Here is a 22,568-nt window from a genome sequence, read left to right on the forward strand (position 1 = left end):
TCTTCTTTTGTAAGGTGTCTGTTCCAATCTTTTGCCCACTTAAAAAAGTAGATTGTCCTATAATGTGAGTTCTTATCAATGTGTTCTGGATACAAGCCATTAATCAGGTATATGTGTTACAAATATATTCTCCATTGTGTGACTTGCTTCCTCCTTTTCTTAATGGCAGCTAAGAGCAGAAGTTTTTAATTTTTAGAAAGCCCAACTTTTCCATTTTTCTTTTATAGTTTGTATATTTTATATCCTGTTTTAAAAAATCTTTGCCAACCCAAATGTTATAAATAATTTTTCCCCGGGGATTTCTTCTAGAATTTTATAGTATTCGTTTTTAAACATAGGTCTACAGTACATCTCATATTGATTTTTGTGCGTGTGGGGTGCAGTAATGGTTAAGGTTTGTTGTTTCAGGCCATTTACAGAAAAGACTTTCCTTTCACCATTGAATTACATGTATAACTTTGATGAAAACCGATTGGCCATCCATGTGTCTGTCTACTCCTGGAATGTATACTATTTTTTTTACACTGATTGAAGTGTTTGCTCTTATCAATACCACACTGTCTGGAATACTGTACCTTTATAATAATTATTGGAAAAACATACTATATGTGCCTCAACATTGACCTTAGTTTTAAAAATTGTTTTGGTTGGGACTTCATGATTAAAACACCAAAAGCAATGGCAACAGAAGCCAAAATAGACAAATGGGATCTAATTAAACTAAAGAGCTTCTGCACGGCAAAGGAAACTACCATCAGAGTGAACAGGCAATCTACAGAATGGGAGAAAATTTTTGCAATCTACCCATCTGACAAAGGGCGAATATCCAGAATCTACAAAGAACTCAAACAAATTTACAAGAAAAAAACAAACAACCCCATCAAAAAGCAGACAAAAAATATGAACAGACACTTCTCAAAAGAAGACATCTATGCAGCCAACAGACACATGAAAAAATGCTCATCATCACTGGCCATCAGAGAAATGCAAATCAAAACCACAATGAGATACTATCTCATGCCAGTTAGAATGGCAATCATTAAAAAGTCAGGAAACAACAGATGCTGGAGAGGATATGGAGAAATAGAAACGCTTTTACACTGTTGGTGGGAGTGTAAATTAGTTCAACCATTGTGGAAGACAGTGTGGCGATCCCTCAAGGATCTAGAACCAGAAATACCATTTGACCCAGCAATTCCATTACTGGGCATATACCCAAAGGATTAAAAATCATGCTACTATAAAGACACATGCACACGTATGTTTATTGCGGCACTATTCACAATAGCAAAGACTTGGAACCAACCCAAATGTCCATCAATGATAGACTGGATTAAGAAAATGTGGCACATATACACTATGAAATACTATGCAGCCATAAAAAAGGATGAGTTCATGTCCTTTGCAGGGACATGGATGACACTGAAAACCATCATTCTCAGCAAACTACCACAAGGACAGAAAACCAAACACTGCATGTTCTCACTCATAGGTGGGAATTGAACAATGAGATCACTTGGACACAGGAAGGGGAACATCACACACTGGGGCCTGTCAGTGGGTGGGGGGCTGGGGGAGGGATAGCATTAGGTGAAATACCTAATGTAAATGACGAGTTGATGGGTGCAGCAAACCAATATGGCACATCTATACCTATGTATCAAACCTGCACGTTGTGCACATGTACCCTAGAACTTAAAGTATAAGTAAAAAAAAAAAAAAAAAAAGAAAGAAAGAAAAAGAAAAATGCAACTGACACACAGAAAAGAAATGTTTTGGTTATTTTAGGTCTTTGCATTTCCATACATTTCAGAATCAGCTTCTAATTTCTTCATAAAAGCTTGCAGAGAGTTTGACTGGACTGCACTGTTGATTAATTGATTAGTTAATTGGAGGAAATTGACACCTAAACATCATTGAGTCTTCCAAACAACACAGACTCTCCATCTCTTTAGGTCTCCTTTAGTTTTTGTCAGCAATTCTTTGAAGTTTATAGTATATAGGCCTTGCATACATTTTATTACATTTCCTAAATATTATTTATTAAATTATCCTAAATATTTCATGTTTTAGATGCTATTCTAAATTACATTTTTAAATTGTTTCTATGTTTGTTGCTAGTACATAGTAATACAGCTAACTTTTGAAAATAACCTCGTATCCTTCAACTTTGCTAAATTCACTTATTCGTTCTCATAGATCTCCCTTTTGAGGATTCCTTGGGATTTCCTATATACACAATCATGTCACATGTGAATATCAACAGCTTTCCTTTCCTTTCCAATGATATGTTTTTTTTTCTTGCATCATACAATGGTAAACAGAAGTGGTGAGAGCAGATATCCTTGCGTTGTTTGCTTTCTTAGATGGAAAGCATTGCTTCCACCCTTGTGTGGCCTTTACTGTATGTTTGAATTAGGTTGAGGAAGTATCCTTTCATTCTTGGCTTTCTAAGAGTTTCTTTTATCATGAATATACTTTGAATTTTTCTTAGTAATTTTTCTGCATCCACTGAGATGTTCATATGGTTTTTCTCTTTTTTCTGTTATTACGATGAATTGATAGTGAATATTAAACCAACCTTGCATTCCTGGGATAAACTCACTTAGTCACAATGTATTATTGTTTTTATATGTTGCAGTATTTAATTTACTAGCACTTTATTAAAAATATTTGCATCAGCCAGGCAAGGTGGCTCAGGCCTGTAATCACAGCACTTTGGGAGGCTGTGGTGGGAGGATTTCTAGAGCCCAGGAGTTCAAAATCAGCTTGGGCAATATAGGGAGATTCCATCTCTACAAAAAATTTAAATATTAGCCAGGAATGGTGGCATGTGCCTCTAGTCCCAGCTAATCTGGAGGCTGAGGTGGGAGGATCACTTGAGCCTGGCTGGTCGAGGCTGCAGTAAGCTAATGATAGCACTACTGCACTCCAGCCTGGGCAACAGAGCAAGACCCTATCTCAAAAAAAAAAAAAAGATATTTGCATCTATGTTAATGAGGGATATTGGTCTATTGTTTTCTTTTATGTGACGTCTTTTTCTGGGTTTGATATTAAGGTAATTCTGATATTATTAAATGATTTAGGAAGTATTTTCTTCTCCTCTGCATTTCTGGAAGAGTTTGTATATTCCTACTTCCTTGAATGTTTGATAGAATTAACCAATAAAGACATTTGGCATGAAATTTGCACTCTTTCTGACAGTTTGCAGTCATCCTTATGTTTATTCTTCTGTATATAATGTCTTCTTTCTCACTTTTTAAAAGATTTTTGCTTTACCCCTGATTTTTAGCAATTTGATTATGATGTACTCTGTGGCTTCCTGTGTGGTTATTCTATTTGGAGTTTGTTGAGTTTCTTCAACTACAGTTTTATGATTTTTATCACATTTGGAAAAGCTTTGGCCATGATCTGTGTTGGGATTTGTCTCTGTTTCCTATGCTTCCCTACGGCTCCAGTTATGCACATGTGAGACTGCTTGACATTGTCCTACATGTCATTCATGCTCTGTTCATTTTTTAAGTCTTTTCTTTCTGTGTTTTTCTTGAGAAGTTTCTATTGTGCCCACGTTTTCTTCTGCATTGTCTAATGTGCTTTTAACTGTTTATTTCAAGATAATTTAAGACTTACCAAAGAGTTTCAAAGATAGTTGGTTTCCAGTATGCCCTCTGACCTGTCTCTCAGAGGTGAACGAACGTCTTACATAATTGTGGTATAATTGTAAAAACTAGGAAACCATCATAAATTGATGTAATACTATTAGTTATATTACAGACTTGATTGGGAATTACTGTTTTTCCACTAATGTCTGTTTTCCATTCCAAGACCCAATTCAGGATATTTTATCTGTTATGTCTCTTCCAATCTGTGACAGTTCCTTCATGTTTTTGTTTTTGGTTTCTCATAACCTTGACAATTTTGAAGAGTATAGGTCAGGGATTTTGTACACTGTTCCTTAATTTGGGTTTGTTTCGTGTTTTCTTGTGATTTAACTAAGATTACAGGTTTGGGAGAGAGGATATGGGAAGGGCAAGTAAGTGCCTGTATCACGAGTTGGGGGGCATATATGATATCAACATGTCTTCACATTGAAGTAGAGTTTTCTAAGTTTTTCTAGTCTACAGTAATTTCCCCTTTATATACTCTACTAAAGTGAATTATTAAGTGTAGCCCATATTTAAGGGGAGGGGAATTAAGCTCTTCTGGAGGGAGAGATATCAGAAATTTTTGGACATAAGTTAAAACCTCCACAGTCAAGTATTTTTTGGAGAGCTACTTAGGCTATGAAAACATTCGTCTCTTTAAAATTTCCTGCACTAATCTCCGTGCATATCTGCAGATCTTATAGCATCTATTCCTGTGGTATGTTGTGATTCTCTATTTCCCTCATTCATTTCACATTCATTAATTGGAATCCTTTTCTAAGGAAGAGCTGTCCTTCTCCATTTATGATTTATTCAATCGTTTTACAAATCAATTCACAAATATTTATCTTAGTCTTTGTGTAACATTCCAATACTACTGTGATTTATTTTCTTGCTCAAATTATTCTAGCTTTGGCCACCAGGAGAGCAGTGGTTTGGTTTCTGTGTCTTTTTGACATGCTCCTACTATTTTTTTTTTTAACACTTTACCTGATGGCACCACAAAATGTTGCAGGCTCATTTTGCATTTCTTCTGCCCCAGTCCTAGAACCAGAATCAGCCATTTTTCCAAAGAGCCTTCATTCTGTTTACTTAGAAACCCCGATCTAGGTATGGTCGCTGCTCCTGGGCCCTGTCATAACCAGAGCTATGAAATGTATGCATGTATACTAACCCATGTATAATATATGAATACACATCCAAATGTATTTCTGTATGTGTGTATCTGTATACATATTTGTGTAATCCTGAGCCCCATACTCCTATCTCCAACTCAAACCCAGCACTGCAAGGCTCATTCCAGCATTCTCCCTTTGGTTATTTGTAATCATTTTCTCCCACAGTGTGAAATCTTCTTCCCATTACTTAAACTATAATTACTTATTTGTTCAAGTGCAGTATATGTGTAAAGTGCTTTCAGGATTGCTAATCCATACCCCTGTGAGGAAAGACATTACCAACTAGAGTACACTGTTCATGCACAGTTCCTTCCGTCTTCAGACTTGCCATGTCGATTCAACACGCTGTTTCCAAAGGTGTGTGGCTCAGCTCCCTTCTTCTCCACTGCGTTCCGTGTGGTTACGGCACACGAGGAACACAGTCCGTCCATGACTCAGAGTCTGTGCTCCATCTTGAACTCCCCCAACATCCTGGTGGATGTTTTTAAGCTTTGCATACAGCAAAATTCATTCTTGGTGGTGCACAGTTCTTTGAGCTTTGAAAAATGCATATAGTCATGTATCTGCTGCCACAGTACCACATAGGATATTTTCATCAGCCCCCAAATTCTCTGAGCTGATGCTCTGTAGTCAGTTTCTCTCCACTCTCAGTACCTAGCAACCACTGATCTGTTTTCTATCCCCACAGTTTTGCCTTTTTCAGAACACAAATAAAATCATGTAATACGTAGCCTTCTGGATCTGCAGCAAAATGCATTCAAGATTCATTCACGTTGTGTGAATCAGCAGATCACGCATTGTTATTCCTGAGTTACATTCCATGTATGGATATCCTGTGCATTTTGCTTTATTTTTTTGTAGAGATGACATCTCACTATATTGCCCAGGCTGGTTTTGAACTCCTGGCCTCAAGCCATCCTCCTCCCTTGGCCTCCCAAAGTGCTGGAATTACAGGTGTGAGCTACCACGTCTGGCTGGTAAATGTGCTTTTTTAATTTTTATTTTTTTGAGACAGGGTCACCCCGGCTGGTGTAAATACACCTAGACTGGTGTAAATTCTGTCACCCAGGCTGGGGTAAATACACTTAACTTTATAAGAACCTGCCACTCTTTTCCAAAGTGACGTACAAATGCTGCACTCTCAGTAGCAATGTTTAAGAGTTCTAGTTACTCTGTGTCCTTCCTGAAACTTTGATAGTGTCAGTTTTTAAAACTTTAGCCCTTCTAACAGGTGTGTAGTATCACAATATGGTTTTATTTTGCATTTCCACAATGACTAATGATGTTCAAGTCTTTCATATGCTTATTTGCTATCTGTACATTGTCTTTGGTGAAGTTTCTGTTTAGACGTTTTACTCCTTTTAAAAGATTGTTTTCTTATTTTATTAGTTGTAAGGGTTCTTTATACATTCTAAATGTAAGTCCTTTATCAGATTCATTTGCAAACATTTTCTCCAAATCGGTGGTTTGCCTTTTCCTTGTCTGAGCAGTGTCTTTCACAGAGCAAAAGGTTTGAATTTTGTTCTGTCAATTACTGAGAGAGTAGTGTTAAAGTTCTAAATATAATTATGGATTTTTCTATTTCTTCTTTTAGTTCTATCAGTTTGTCTCATGTATTTCAAATCTCTGTTAGGTGCATACATATTTACGGATTTTATGTCTTCTTGGATAATCAGCCCCTTTATCTTGTCTCTGTTTATTCCTGATAATATTACTTGTTTTGAAGTCTACTTTGTCCCATATTGTAGACACTCTAGTTTGTTTTCTTTCTTTCTTTTCCTTTCTTCTTTCTTTCTCTTTCTTTTTTGCATTAAGAGTATTGAGGCTTTGGAACACCTGAAGTGAGAAGCACACTAGGAAATCAACACAAAATGAATCAATGAATCACAGGAATGTAAAACTGCAATATGATCTGGTTGAAGTTAGTGTCACTTTAACATGATTCTTTTTTTATTCCCCCTGGAGGCAGGACATCTCTCTATTGCCCACGCTGGAGTGCAGTGGCATAATCACGGCTCACTGCAGCCTTGACCTCCTGGGCTCAAGTGATCCTCTCACCTCAGCCTCCTGAGTAGCTGGAACTACAGGTGCACACCACCATGCCTGGCTATTTAAATTTTTTTTTTTTTTGGTAGAGATGAGATCTCACTATTTTACCCAGGTTGGTCTCGAACTCCTGGGCTCAAGTGATCCTGCCTTGGCCTCTCAAAGTGCTGGGATTACAGGCATGAGCCACTGCAACCAGCCAATTCTTTTACTGGAAGATTAAAAAGAAATTAACTTATTTTTAATTGACAAAAATTGTGTATCTTTCTCATGTACAACGTGGTTTTGAAATATGTATAATACATTATGAAATGTCTAAATTAAGCTAATTAACACATGCATTACCTCACATACTTATGTTTTGTGGTGAGAACACTTAAAATCTACTCTCTCAGCATTTTTCAAGAACACAATACATTGTTATCAACTATAGCCACCACGTTGTACAATAGATCTCTTGAACTTATTCATCCTGTATAACTGAAACTTTGTATCCTTTGACCAACATTTCTCCAACCTCCTGCCCTCACTCCCCAGCCTCTGGTAATCACCATTCTACTCTCTGCTTCTGTAAATTCCACCTTTTTAGATTCCACACACGTATAAGTAAGATCATATGGTAGTTGTCTTTTTGTGCCTGGCTTATTTCACCTTAGCCTAATCTCCTCCAGATTTATTTATGTTGTTACAAATGATAGGAGTTCCTTTTCTTTTAATGGCTACATAGTTTTCCTTTGTGTATATGTACCACTTTTTTTTCTTTGAGACGGAGTCTCGATCTGTTGCCAGGCTAGAGTGCAGTGATGCGATCTCAGCTCACTGCAACCTCTGCCTCCTGGGTTCGAGCGATCCTCCTGCCTCAGCCTCCCGAGTAGCTGGGACTACAGGCATGCATCACCATGCCCAGCTAAGTTTTGTATTTTTAGTAGAGATAGGGTTTCACCATGTTGGCCAGGATGGTCTCAATCTATTGACTTCATGATCCACCTGCGCCTGGCCATGTACCACATTTTCAAAAATCCATTCATCCATTGATGGATGCTTAGGTTACTTTCATATCTTGGCTACAGTATATACAGCCGTATAATGTTGCGATGGACATGGGAGTGCAGACACTTCTTTGGCTAGTGATTTCATTTCCTTTGGCATATACCCAGTAGGGGGATTGCTGGATCATCATGGCTGTACTAATTCACATACCCACCAAGTGTAAAAAGGTTCCCTTTTCTCCATGTCCTCTCCAACACTTGTTATCTTTCATCTGTTTGATAACAGCTATTCTAATGGGTTACATGGAAGACAATGTTTCTTTTGATTAGTGTTTGCATGGCATATCTTTCCTTGCACTTAGCCTATCTACATCTTTAAAGTGTGTTTCTAGAGATGGAGTCTCACTCTGTCGCCCAGGATGGAGTGCAGTGGCACCATCTCAGCTCACTGAAACTTCCACCTCCCGGGTTCAAGAGATTCTCTGGCCTCAGCCTCCCGAGTAGCTGGGATTACAGGTGCCTGCCACCACGCCCGGCTAATTTTTTTTTTTCATATTTTTAGTAGAGATGGGGTTTCACCATGTTGGATAAGCTGGCCTTGAACTCCTGACCTCCAGTGATCCGCCTGCTTCAGCCTCCCACAGTAATAGAGAACCTATATTTCATTCTTACATCTTAATGCAATCTGACACTTTTTTGGTGTTAGGACTGTTGTGTGTGTATGGATCATTCACATTCAATAGAAATTGAGTTGATATGGTTGGATTCCAACCTACCATCTTGTTAGCTGTTTTTTATTTAATTTGTTATTTCTTTTTTTCTTGGATTAAGTTAGTTTTTAAAAATGATTTCCTTTTATCTTTCCTAAACATATATATATAAACACACATATATATATAAAAGTGTGTGTGTGTGTATATATATATATATATATATATATACACACACACTTTTCTTTAAAAAATTTTTTGGTGGTCACCTTAGGGTTTACAATTTATATTTTTAATTACTATGCATCTATTTTCAAATATTATACTGTACTTCTTCACGTGTAGTATAAGAACCTTATAGCAACATATGACCACTTCCTCCCTTTCATCCTTTGTATTATTGTCATGCATTTCACTTGTTCATATGCTCTAAGCACACAATACATTTTCCCTATTTTTACTCCAATCAATCTTTCAGAGCATTAAAAACAGGGAGAAAAATGTTACCGTCATATATGCAATTTCAACCACACTCATCATCAACCGTGTTCATCATTTCTTTGTGTTGAACCAGATTTCTGATTGTTATCATAGTCCTTGTGCCTAAAAAACTTCTTTTAACATTTCCTGTAGAGCTTGTCTGCTCGCAATGAATTCCCTCCATTTTTGCTCCTTAGGTATTTCTGCTGGGTAACTGTTTCTGACAACAGGTTTTTCCATCAGTACATAAAAGATTGGTCATGCCACTGTCTTCTGGCTTGTATGCTTTTTGATGAGATAGCTGCTATAATTCTTATTGTTCTTTTCCTCTCTAGGAAAAGAGAAAATGTTTCTTTTTCAGCAATTAGAACATGATATATTTGGATATGGGGGCTTTTGCTTGTTTGCTTGTGTCTTGGTATTTATCTCGCTTGGTGTTATCTGAGCTTCTTGGGTCTATGTTTTGGTGCCTGTCATAAATCTTGAAAAAATTAGTTCTTCAGACATTTGTTCCACTCCTTTCTCTCTTCTTCTTCCAACTATACATATGTTAGACCATTCAATGTTGTTGAACAGTTCATAGATACTCTGCTCTGTTTCTTGCACTCCTTCTTCTCTTTGCTTCAGTTTGGATAATTTTTATTTATATTTCTTCAAGGTAACTTATTCTTTCCATGTCAAGTGTATCAATGAACCCATTGAAGGCATTCTTCACCTCTATCATTGTGCTTTTGATTTCTATCATTTCCATTTCTAGCATTTCCTTTTGGTACACTGAATTTTTGTTTGAAACCTCGTTTTTTTTTTAGTGATAGTGTATACTATGGTAAATATTTTCTATGATTGGAGATGAGCACATCTTGCTGTCTAGTAGGTTGTTAGTATGAGTTTGCTATCTTATTCAGGAGTTGGGCTTAGTGAGATATTTGTTGTTGCCACAGCTATCCTCTGTGCACAAAAGGCTCCAAATTCCTCCGGCAACACCTTGTACTTAGAACATGGGCTCATTTGTGAGATTGTTTTCTCAGTGTCTGCGCTTCCTCTGGGCTTTGGGTCTTCTCTTTGCGCTGTAGTCCTGAAAGAAGCAGTCTCTTGTGGGCCTCCCAACTGTATTTTGTCGTTTTTACTTGACATCTATTATTCTGGTGACAGGAGATAGGAGAGGATCAGAATCCTCTGATGTTCTGTTTAAGCATCCTCTTACACAGGGAGTGTCTGGGTCTCAGGGATGTGGACTTCAAAATACTTCTCCCACCAGCTGCAGTGTTGGGCTCGGCAGGTATCCCTGATCCTCTCCTAGGGTAGAGCTTTTTATTTTTCTGTCCCCTTTGCACAATGGAAATGGGCTTCCCCATTGCCCTAAGGCCACGGTTTTTGTGGCCTTTCTCCCTGAAGGCCTTTTTCCATAAGTGAGATAAGAGAGGTGTGTACCAATGGAGTTTCTCGAGTGGACACTGTTCCCTCCCTCAAACAACATAATGAGGAACTTTCTCAGGATTCTCCCACCTTTCCTGTGAGAACCTGGTGGAGTTCATGAACAAGAAGCCTGCAAGAGGAGGCAAACCTCTCTACTCTGCAGCACCAAGGGACTTCATACTCTCACACATGGTATTTAGAAATTCATTCTAAACGTTTTAGCTGACTCTTATTTCCCACACATATGGCATCATTTGTTTCTCTCCCAGGTAAGCAAATGCTCAGGTCCTGTTTTTCTTCCGAGGTGTCTCTCCCTAGATTTCCAGTTATTTGGTCGTTCTGCAATGTTGATTTTCTGATGGGCTCAAGAAAGCTACAGTTCTTTTTGCTGTAATCTTGGCAGTGATACTTTATCCAGTGTTCTACGTCTATGAGATAAAACTGGAAATTTCTAACTACTTTTATTTCTACCCATTGAACATTTTATTTTGAATACTGTATTTTTCAGCTCTAAAATATTCACTTCCTATCTATGTCTTTCTTCATTATGGCCTTGTTTTTCCTTAAATTCTTGAGCATATGTATAGTAACTGTTTGAAATTCTTTGCCTGGTAATTCCATCATTTCTGTCATATTATTTCTATTGATCAATTTTTTTCCTGGTATTGGTCATATATTCCTGCTCCTTCACTTCAGTAGCGATTTTTGATTGGATGCTGGACTTTTATGAATTTTACTTTATTGAGTGCCGAATGTGGTTGTCTTAAAAAATATTGGACTTTGTTCTGGCAGGCCATTAAATTACCTGCTGATCAGCATACTCCCTTCCAGGATTGTTCTAAAACTCTGTTAGGAGATTCTGGAGTAACCTTTACTCTAGCTTTCTGGTTGTTCCCGATGTACTTTGTCTGTCCTCGTGGAGTTTCACCCTACAGCAACATATTCAAGGTGACTCCATGCAGATTTCCAGAACTCTTTCTCTGCCTAGCTCCCTCATCTCCAGTACTGCAACCCACAAATGTCCCACACCTGCACTACAAATTGTCATCCCTGTGGCCCCAAATCATTAAGACCACTGTGTTCTGCCTGAGTTTCCCCTTCCTGCCTCACAATCCAGAAAGCTGGGTTATCATAAGGCCCACCTCGTTTGCTGCCATTCTCTCAGGGATCATGGTCCTCGACTGCCTGTCTTCCAATGTCTGAAAAGAGTGTTTCCAAATCTGTCCAGTTTTCAAGTTGTTTGTGATGTGAGAAGCCTGTCTCAGTCCTCCATGATGGCCAGAGGTGGAAGTTTCTCTTTCGCTGCTTTTTATATCTTCTCTTTTTTGGTTATTCAAATTTTTAGTTTCACCACGTCTAGATGTGGATTTTTTTATTTTTTTTTTTACCCCATGCTTGTTATGCTTCCTGTATCTTTGGATTTACGTCTTTCACTAATTCTTAAAAATCATGTGAAATCATCTTTTCGAATATTGCCTCTCCTCTATACTTTTTATTCTCTCCTTCTGGAACCTCACTTTTACAGTGTTTTAGTCCTTCAGGCTGCTGTAATGAAATAACACAGTCTGTGTGGCTTATAAACAGAATTTCTTTCTCACAGTTCTGGAGGTGGGGAAGTCCAAGATCAAGGTGCCAGCAGATTCAGTGTCTGGTGAAGGCCCATTCCTCATAGGTGGCCATCTTTTCACTCTAACCTCACACAGCGGGAGGGGCAAGGCAGCTCTTGGGGGTTTCTTTATGAGGACACTCATCTCATTCATCTATTCACCTCCAAAGGCCTCACCTCCAAATACTGTCACATTTGGGGATTAGGTTTCAACATATGAATTTGGGGTGGAGGAATACAAACATTCAAGCTATATCACGTGTTTGGCATCCTCATTCCAGTCTCTCAATTGCTAAACCTCTCATTCACATCCTTCATCTCCTTTCCTCTTTGTGTTATATTCTGCGCAATTTTTTTGTCTACCCTTAATTCCCAAATTCTCTCAATTCTGTCTCATCTGTGTAATTTTGCCTTTGGGTTTTTTAACAACTGTATTTTGAACAGTGTTTGATTTTTTTTCCTCTTTAATTTGTTTGAAGCATTACAAACCCGTAGAAAGTTTAAGAGTAAAATTAAACTTTTTTTGTGAATCATGTGTGACCAAGTTGCTGAGCAGATGCCCCATCAGCCACAAGCACTGTATGTAGTATGTATTTACCACAAAGGCTTTCTTCCTACATGCAGCGTATTAATCACTGAAATCGGGAAATTAACTTGGTGTGTTACTGCCATCTAACCTTCAGACCCTATCAATTTTTGCAAATTGTCCCAATAAGAGTGAAAAGATCATTTATTGCATTTAGTTGTGATGTCTTTTTCTTCTTCAGTCTGAAATGTTTTCTTAGTGTTTCCTTGACTTTCGTAATTAGATCTTTGAAGATTACATGCCAATTATTTTCTGGAATGTCTCTCAATTTGAGTTTGTCCTTTTTTCTTCAGAATTAGATTTGGTTAGGTATCTTTGACAGGATGATCACAGAAGTGATGCTGTACTCTTCTTATTGTATTATATCAGGTGGCAACTTTTATTTATCCCATTATTGAAAATGTTTACTTTGATCAGTTAGGGTGGTTTTAGAGGCTTTTCCACTGAAAATTATTCTTTTCTACTATGTAATTAATATATATTTTCTAGGAAGGAACACCTTAACTATTTTGATATACTGTTTCCATATAAAGTTCAATTTATTATTTATCAATATTTGTATAGACACAAGCTTTCCTGTTTTTAGTCTATTGCTCTCATTATTTAATTTGATGCTCATCTCATCTCTGCTTTGGCCCATTAAATCTCACTTCTGTGTCATTTTGACATATCTTTATCACTATTCAAGCACTTCCTTGATTTTTGGAGGGAACAAGATGTTCCAGGCTGATCTTGCGAATTCCATGCCCCAGTTCTGAAATCAGTTGTTTTTCCAAGTAATACTGGTTCCTTTTGAAAAGTGGTATTTAGAAACCAAGGTCTAGGTGCTGGGTGTGCTCAAGATGGGCTGCTGTCTCCAGGGCACTCTTGGTGGACAGTTAGGAAACACACACACATACACACACACACAGTTATACAAAAACAGGCATACACATATTTGCATATACATTTATTCCTACAATGAAATACAATTATCAAAAACCATTAGTGCAATCACTCTGATTCTTTATTCTAGTGACACACCATAGGGTTAATTTTAGCTTTTTCTTCATATAAGTAACTCCCTATTTGCACAGTGTGAAACTTAGCTCCATCACCCTTCATATATTTATATATCTGATCAATTTCCCTGTTCATAACCAACATGCCATCTCTGTTGTCACCTTCTTCTGTGTAGGTCCCCTTATAACTGGAGTTCTGATTCCCTGTGCTCTGCCTCCCACCTGTGTGAAAACTCTCACGATGCTTGTGTTCTGCCGTTCTAGTCTACTTATCTTTGGCAACTCCCACCTCATCCCAGTAGGGCCCTGAATTCCACCTTGGGCCCATCCCTCAGGATCATGTCCTAGTAACCCGGTCATGTGTGACTCCCCATGTTGAACTGCCCCCATGGGTGGATGCCCTCCTCACTTTGCCAATCCACAGGACATACTTTGAAACCTGTGGTGCTCTCACATGCCTTGCTGGGCAGCCCTCTCACAGGGTATGAGCTGGAACACATGCTTGGGCTCCGATCCTCTAGCCTGGCCAGCACATCCCTCCCCACCTCTCCCAGCCCTGCTATACCACTAGTGCTGCCTAATGGCTTTAGGACATTGTTCAGATACAACAAAAAGGAAGCACTCTCTGGCTACTCTAGACAGTCTCTTCTTGATTTTTTTCATCCTTTATTTCCTTAAACCTTTCAAATATTGTCCTTTATGGTAATTTTAATAACTAAAGTCCCTAGGAGGTCAATCTAGTTTGTATTTTTCACTTACAGTGGTTTCTTCCCTCGTGCATTTTGTGATCTTTGATTTTAAGTCCATAGTTGGTTGACCTTAAACTGTGAAGAATATAAGGGGATAATTTGAGAAAGCCCTTCCAGGATCTCTGGCCTAATTTGGGAGCCTGGGGTTTAGATTCCCTCCTCAAAAGCTGTCCAAGAATTTGCTTCCTATTAGCAGTGCAAATGGGGATGACTTCCCCAGTGAAACCCTGAACTTCCTGTACACTACTAACTGCTCAGGCTTTGGATCTGTTTTTTTTTTGTTTGTTTGTTTTGCTTAAGAGATGGGGTTCTGTTTGGTCACCCAGACTGGAGTGCAGTGGTGCTATTACAGCTCATTATAACCTCGAACTCCTGGACTCAGATGATCCTTCCGCCTCAGCCTCCAGAGTAGTTATGCAAAGCAGTTAAAGGTATGCACCACCATGCTTGGCTATTTTTATTTTTATTTTTTGTAGAAATGGGGTTTTGCCATGTTGCCCATGCTGCTCTTGAAATCCTTGGCTCAAGTGATAACCACCTGCTTAGCCTCCCAATGCATTGGGATTACAGGTGTGAGCCACTGTGCCCAGCGTTTTGCTTCCTTCTTGATCCTTTGGAAACATTATTCCTAAAACCTAGCAATACAACAAAAAATGTTTTCCACAGAATCTGTTTTGTTGGAGGAGGGGAACAGAATTTCCAGTTCATCATTACTGAGACGAGAAAGACTTCTATATTCGCTTTATTTACAAAAAAGCAAAGCTTGCTTTTAAGATTTTCAGTAGGATATGTATGAAACTGCAGCGCTCACTAGGTAGTCTTCTTAGGTTTAACCCCTGACACTCATATAATGCCACGCCTGGCAGCAGCTCCACTTTGGAGGACTGAGGAGAAGAAACACACTTCACTGCGGTACAGGCATGGAAGAGCTCTACTCTTTGGCCCAAATGCAATTCAGGAGCAAACCATTATGGGTGGGGGCTTGGCTTGGAAGTCCTTGACCGGCGGGAAACCAGTTCCCTGAGTTTGTCTTTTAGATTCCCACATTCAGTTAAGACAGTAACAGAGGCTAAAGGTATGGCTTCCCACTAGGTGTTTTAAGATTATTCAGTACTTTCAAGCCAGAGGCAGTCTACATGTCAGAGGTCATTTTTACCATGAGCAATGTTTTATTTATTTATTTGGAGATGGAGTTTCACTCTTGTCACCTAGGCTGGAGTGTAGTGGTGTGATCTCGGCTCACTGCAACCTCCACCTCCTGAGTTCAAGTGATTCTTGTGCCTCAGCCTCCCAGGTAGCTGGGATTACATGCATGTGCCACCACACCCAGCTAATTTTTGTATTTTTAGTAGGGATGGGGTTTTGCCATGTGGGCCAGGCTGGTCTTGAACTCCTGACCTCAGGTGATCCACCTGTCTTGGCCTCCCAAAGTGTTGGGATTACAGGCGTGAGCCACCGCGCCTGGCCTACAACCAATGTTGTTTTATACCACAATGAACACTCTGCCTTCATAAGGTTTCTATGACAAGTTAAAGTTAACACAAAGTGAAGTTTGTTCATAGATAAGGACAAGGGGTTGGTTAAATCTTTACTCACAGTAATTTACCAAGAACTTCAAATACTGGGTGTCCACGCTAAAAAATTTTTCCAGTGGGTGTTTGATCAAAAAATTTTATAGACTCTTGTTCTAGAGAAATTCAGTTTCAAGTGGCTTATGAGATTGTTTCATCTGTTAATTTGGTTTTTTGTGGAATTCTTCTGAAGATCACCACTGAATTATCCTGAAAAATATTTTCTGAGTTAGGCATGCCATCCTCCACAGTTCAAAAAATAATGAAAGGTGATAAAGAGTTCAAGCCATTTAAATATGGATGTATTAACGTGCTTTTTAATAGAGACCATTTTTCAATGAGTTGCTTGCAAAACATTTTTTTTGGGGAGTGAGTTCTCACAGTTGAATAATTTTTTTGTTTTTTTTTGAGACAGAATCTCGCTCTGTCACCCAGGCTGGATTGCCGTGGCGCAATCTCGGCTCACTGCAACCTCCGCCTCCTCGATTCAAGCAATTCTCCTGCCTCAGCCTCCTGAGTAGCTGGGATTACAGGCGCGTGCCACCACGCCCAACTAATTTTTGTATTTTTAGTAGAGACGGGGTTTCACCATGTTGGTCAGGCTGGTCTCAAACTCCTGACCTCGTGATCCACCCACCTCAGCCTCCCAAAGTGGTGGGATTACAGGCGTGAGCCACCGCGCCCGGCCAGCATTTTATTATACGTACCGTTTTATCATCTCTTCACCCATCCACCAATGCATCTCCTGTATGGACGTCTTGATTGTTAACTCACGGCACTGGACCTCCAGTTTCATGCCTCTCCACATTGCAGGGTCCTCTACGTTGTTGTATCAGTCACCTTTCTAAAATACAAATCTTACCATGTAAATTGTTTCTAAAATCTTTCAATAGACCCCATAGACTCAGAAAAACGTCCCAAAGTCCGGAATCCTGGCCCCTGCCTACCTTTCCAGTTTCATTGCTGGGTCAGAACGCCTCACCTAAGCCCCACATTGACCGATATGGAATCAATGTTTACAGCCGGTGTGTACTTAATCAACCCCCTTCCCCGACTGCGACCACTCAGATGCGCCTTCCCGGGCCCCACACCCCAAAACCCCTGAGCCCTTTCGTCCACAGCTGTCTGACCACCCAGCACCCTTTCCTTTATGTCAAGTATGAGGATTTCGTTTCTTAACCTTTCTCACTGCTCAAAATGCAAACTCAGACATGAGTGCCGGGCGCTATCCGTCCTGCTCACGTCTTGTTCTCAGGGCCGCAAGGCGCAGGGGCAGTAAGGGCCGAGAGCCCATCAGGGTCCGGCGCTGCCCGCTGCCCAGCCGGGCGCGGAGAAGGGGACGGGGGTCCGGGGTCGCGGGTCCGGAGGGTCTCGGGTTGTAGGAAGTGAGGGCTCGCGGGCGCCGCACGAGTGCGCGTGCACGTTAGCCCGGCGCGCGCGGCACTCATCTCACCTCGCGGAAGCACCTGCCGGAGCTGTGTGCACCCTTTCCTGCCCTCAACACAAGCCGTCGGCGTTCACTACTGTAGCTCATTCAGACCCCACTCTCCAACCTACTGTCCAGGCACAGAAACGACAGTTAAGGTTCCCCCGGACCGTACGCTGGACCTTGCCTCCCCGGCTCCTAACGGGAGACGGGCTGCCGTAAAGCTTCGCTTTGCCGACTGCTGCAAAGCGCCTTACGACTGAACCCGGAATCGACCTATGGCCAGCAGTCGTCCCCGCCCTGCTTCAAACATTTGGGTTTCAGGAGCCGGGCGGAGGTGACTGCCGCGTGTTTGCGTTGCACGCCCACCGCCCGAAACACGGCGGCGGCCTCAGGGCTGCTGCGGCCTCGGCGGGGGCAGGCCCCGGCGCCCGCCCGCCTCCCGGCCTCCATCATCCCAGGGTGCACCGCGGCGGGCGCGGGCGCGCGGCCATGTTGCGGTAGTTTGTTGTTTTCTTCCTGCGGAGGCGAAGGGCCAGCTGTGGACCGCGAAGCGCCCGGCTTCGCCTCTGCCTCCTGCAGCCCCCTCCCTTCTCTGTCCTCCGTCACCCGTACCCGGGCCCGGACCAGGCACGTCGGCCCACCAGCTGGCTTGGTGGGGGAGGCTGAAGGCCGGGCCCCGCGAGTGCCATGGCGGCCGCCCTGGGAGCGAGCGGAGGAGCAGGCGCCGGAGGTACGTGAGGCAGCCGGACTCTGGGGGCCAGGACCGCGCCGCGGTGGGCGGGGGTGTAGGCCGGGGGGCCTCCCCGCTTAGGAGAGGACGAGGCTCTCCCCGGCTCCGACTCTCTTTGTGTTCGGCCTATTCCGTTTTCTCCCTCGCCTTCCCTCGCTATTGTCATTCTCCCTTTCTCGCTCCTCCTCTCCGCTGTGCAGATCGTACTTACCTGTGAACTTCTGTGTGTCCTCTACTTTGCAAGGCTGCCTAAGTGTCAGGCCCATCTCTGGCGTTGGCGGGCATTAAGTGCCGAAGCCGGCCTGGTGTCCTATGGGTAGGAGAGCGCCCCCCCCACCCCCCGAGACAGTGTCACTTAGGGAGAGCGGGGCAGGTCGCTGTAGGGTGGGTGTTTAAGATTGTGGGGCCATCCTGACAGATTTAGATTGATTTGAAGCCCATTACAAAAACATAACGAAAAGATTCACCTGTGTGAAGGAATGTGCGACAGTAGGCCAGTTTGGAAAGTGAGATTTCTTGAGAAAGTCTCAATAAATCCCTGTTTTAAATTAACTTATTTGTTGTCTAATAACCTGTTAGTGTTTTATGTGCGTCTTCCAAAAGTGAAAACGTGACACAAAAGGTTTAGATACTGAGTCAGTTCCTTTGGATAGTTTTTCTTGTTTGCAAGCATAAACAGTATTGATGAAACACCTATCTCTAAAAAATTGTAGGTAAATTACTTTCAGGTAAAATTACATATCACTGGGGGTTTTAAAAACGTGGAGAGATACTTGAAAGTGACTTTTTAAGTGATTATTTTGAAAACTTTGAAAAGATGGTAAAATATGGATAACAAAAGCATTTGGGATTAGTTCTTACCATTGAAACGTTGAAAAGCCAGTCTAGTGTATACTCGAGAAGTATTTTTTAGTAAATGCTAGCAGATGGTTACGTTGTTATCATCCTGTTTAGGAATTTTGGCCCAACTGTCAAAACGTTTGCCTGACAAAATGGAAAAACAAAAAAGACTAAGTGTAGGAATGTCGCTTCTGGCAATTTGGTTTGCTATATGCCACTTTTCTTTCAGTTTAAATACATGATGTTTGCGTGTTACATCTGAGACTAATTAAAATTTTAAAATGTATAGTTCACCTATCTTTCTGGGGGTCAGAATTACTTGTTTTATAGCATTCCCAGTGTAACCTGGGAACTCTTGGGTGAACACTCTTTTCATTAGAAAGACTAAGGTGTTATTTGTATTTTTTCTCTTTTCTTTCAGTAGTGTACAGTGGAGTTTTCTAGAGGCTGAATAACATGTGAAGACGTTATGCTGATGGCTAATGGAATATATGCTTGTGTATTCTTTTACGTTTCTCATTTTAAATTTCTAAAATAGTAATATCACTGAATGTAATCCAGATAAACAGGCATTTTTGGGTCTTCAATAATTTTGAGGTCAGAAGTTTTGAGAATTGCTATTTTAGAAGAATAAGTAGGCTTTATTCATGATGCTTTGGAGTTTTTCCTTCCATTTTGTCACAAGTGCCAAAGTTTCCTTTGCTCTTCATACCAAACTCCTTGCCAAGATTTGTGAGTTCTGTATGACTTGGTCCCTGCCTACCCCACCAGCATGTTGTGTGATTGCTTCCTTTATCCTGGAAGTTCATCGCATGGACTGCTCCTGTACCCGCTCTTGCCAGGGCTGACTCCTGATCCAGTGGATCTCACGCTTTTAAGGGAGGCTTTCCTTGAGAATTCATTGTATCTGAGGAATGTATGTCCGTTGCTCTTGTGCCTCTCTTGTCTTCATTCTCTAGCACCTTTGTTTGTTTTCTTCAGAACGTTTATCTTAATTTGTAATTTTCTTCAGTTTTTACTTGTTTTTTAAATCTGCCTCCCACAGTAGCCTGTAAACCTCATGAGGACAAAAATGCTACCTGTTTTACCATGCGTTCCACGTGTTCCTGGCACATAGCATGTGTTCAACAAACATTTGGTGAATGAATTAAAGGATGAAATGTTTTCTTTACGAATAGGAAATAATATAATTGTATGCTAAGTTATGTTAGTCATTTCCACGTGATTTACCTGTGTAACTGATTAAATCATGTTAGCTTGGAGAAATATTTACATTGGTAATACCTTATTGAGCTATCGATAGCTTATTTGGCAGCTCAGTTTAGCATATTGTCTAGCACAGTGACTTTCAAACTTCTTAAAATGGCAGCCACAGAAATGTGATTGACATTGTGATTTAGTACATACATAAAAGTTAAAAAAAATTTCATGAACAATACTGGTCCATACTATGCCATGCACTCTAATGTTTTCTATTTCATTACAGTAAAATGCTGGTTGTGACCTGGATTAATTTCACAACCTACAAAATGTTCGAGATTGTCAGTTTGAAAATCACTGGTCTCTTGTATAGTAAGTGGTTAGTATTTATTGAATAAAATAGGTCTTGGCTATCCACAATCTGGATAGCCAAAATGGGTACCACAAAGTGTCTATAGGAGTGTTTGCTTATTTTTTACTTTTTTTTTTGAGACAGGGTCTTGCTGTGTTGCCCAGACTGGAGTGCAGTCGTATAATCATGGCTAATTGCAGCCTTGGACTCCTGGGCTCAGTTGATTCTCCCACTTCAGCCTCCTGAGTATCTGGGACTGCAGGTGTGCACCAGCACGCCTGGCTAATTTTTGTATTTTTTGTGGAGACAGGGTTTTGCCAAGGTGCCCAGGCAGGAACTCGGGCTCAAGTGATCTGCCCGCCTCAGCCTCTCAGAGTGCAAGGATTACGTGAGCCACCATGCCTTGGCATGATACATTTCAAAGGAGTCATTTGGTATTGCAGCCAAGTAGTAAGGATAGAGAAATGGAATTGCTATCCTTACTAATAGCAGAGAGAATGACAACTGTTATTTATTGGAGACTGAAAACAAAAACATAAAGGCAAAAACATGGCATTTTGGGGAAGGAACAAATAGTTTAATGAGTTTCAAGATCTTCTAGTTCCAGTGCTTCCTTGTAAAATATAAAATAAAAAATCAGTACACAAATCGTAAAAAGCCTCCAACCTAGTGAGTGCGTTATCTCACTTAAGATTTACAACAGCATTCTTGGGCCTGAGCTAATCTGATTTTATAGGTGAGGTGAAAAAATGGGTGCTTGTAAATTTTTTGTTTTCTAGTCAATTCTTAGAAATAAAAAGTTTTAATGGGAAATTTCAAACACATCCAGTAGTAGAATAATGAACCCACATACCCATCACCTAGCATCAACATTCTGGCAATCTGTTTTCATCCCCCCACCTCCACTTTTGTATATTTCAAACAAATCCTAGGCTGGTAAAATTTTAGAGCAAGATACACTGCTGGGATGAGTTAAGACTTTAGATACTAAACCAGTTGCTTTAATTTACATTTGATAGTAAACTAGCCGAGAAAAGTTCAGCCACCTAGCTGTTAAGAAAGGGAAGTAGACTCGAATTCAGGTTTTTTGACTTCTAGTTCAGTGTTCCTTCCACTGTGTCAGTATGTAGTAAGGCAGGAAAGTATGAAGCATGGTGCAGAAGGTTTTCATTCGAAATTGTGAAAGTGAAACAAGTTTTAGTACTTCAACAGGTAAAATTTACCTGGTAGGAAATTTTTGGAGCATTTTAATCACTAATAGTGCTGATAAATGAGATGTTTTCATACTGATAATTATGTGTGTATTTAATTCTTTTTTTTTTTCCTTCAAGAAAATCTTTCATGCTTAATTTCTTAGCTTCAATCAAGAGAGTTTGAGGAGTCGGGAAAGAATAGCCTTTCTCATTTCAGCCATGAGTACTTTTAGCATTTCTTGTAGGGCAGGTGTACTAATGACAAAGTCCCTTAGGTCATACCTGGGGATATAATTTTTGAATGGCAGTTTGAAATATTTCATCCTATCACCTTCTGGCTTCCATCGTTTCTGATGAGAAATTGACTGTTAATCTTATGGAGGATCCTTTGTACATGACATGTCACTTCTCTCTTGGTGTATTCAAGATTCTCTTTGTCTTTGGCTTTTGATAGTGTGATCATAATGTGTTTCTGTGTGGGTCTCCAGATTTATCCTGCTTGGAGTGGTGAGCTTCTTGAATATGTAGGTTCATGTCTTTCACCAAATTTGGAAGCTTTTTATTTTTTTCTCCAGTTCTTTTTCCTGCTACTTTGTTTTCTCCTTCTGGGACTCCCATAATGCATAGATTGGTACTTTTAATGATGTCCCCGTTTTTTAAGGCTCTGCTTATTTTTCCTCTGCTCCTTAGACTGGATAATTTCAATATTTTCCTGTTTCCTCACCTATAGCACCCTTGTTTTCTTCAGAACGTTTATCTCAATTTGTAATTTTCTTTAGTTATTTACTTGTTTTTTAAATCTGCCTCCCACATAAGCCTGTAAGCCTCATGAGGAGAAAAAATGCTGT

The 22,568-nt window shown here is 40.3% G+C and overlaps 1 protein-coding gene and 1 long non-coding RNA gene across 2 annotated transcripts in view, besides 3 other annotated features; one reads left to right on the plus strand and one right to left on the minus strand.

The window, feature by feature from the left end:
* Window positions 1-15,131: 15,131 nt before the first annotated feature.
* On the minus strand, window positions 15,132-17,622 carry RBM33-DT (RBM33 divergent transcript). The gene is made up of 3 exons (NR_126344.1): window positions 17,430-17,622; window positions 16,684-16,820; window positions 15,132-16,186 (listed from the first exon to the last, which is right to left on the minus strand). It is a non-coding gene; the product is annotated as an RBM33 divergent transcript (long non-coding RNA).
* Window positions 16,816-17,770: an enhancer, noted in NCBI's record as "NANOG-H3K27ac-H3K4me1 hESC enhancer chr7:155436294-155437248 (GRCh37/hg19 assembly coordinates)". NCBI's record gives its function as "activates a minimal SCP1, AML or CMV promoter by ChIP-STARR-seq in primed H9 embryonic stem cells {active_cell/tissue: H9 hESC(primed)}" and the evidence as "EXISTENCE:reporter gene assay evidence [ECO:0000049][PMID:30033119]".
* Window positions 16,816-18,204: a biological region, named in NCBI's record as "NANOG-H3K27ac-H3K4me1 hESC enhancer GRCh37_chr7:155436294-155437248".
* Window positions 17,695-18,204: a silencer, noted in NCBI's record as "silent region_18849". NCBI's record gives its function as "represses an Ori minimal core promoter by ATAC-STARR-seq in GM12878 lymphoblastoid cells {active_cell/tissue: GM12878}" and the evidence as "EXISTENCE:reporter gene assay evidence [ECO:0000049][PMID:35858748]".
* Window positions 17,877-22,568, plus strand: part of RBM33 (RNA binding motif protein 33) — a 136,820-nt gene continuing 132,128 nt past the window's right edge. The window contains exon 1 of the mRNA NM_053043.3: window positions 17,877-18,135. Within this exon, the coding sequence (NP_444271.2) occupies window positions 18,093-18,135 (43 nt within the window). The 5' untranslated portion in view covers window positions 17,877-18,092. The remainder of the gene's footprint in view (window positions 18,136-22,568) is intronic.

Source organism: Homo sapiens, chromosome 7 (assembly GCF_000001405.40).
Source record: "Homo sapiens chromosome 7, GRCh38.p14 Primary Assembly".
NCBI classification, from domain to species: domain Eukaryota; kingdom Metazoa; phylum Chordata; class Mammalia; order Primates; family Hominidae; genus Homo; species Homo sapiens.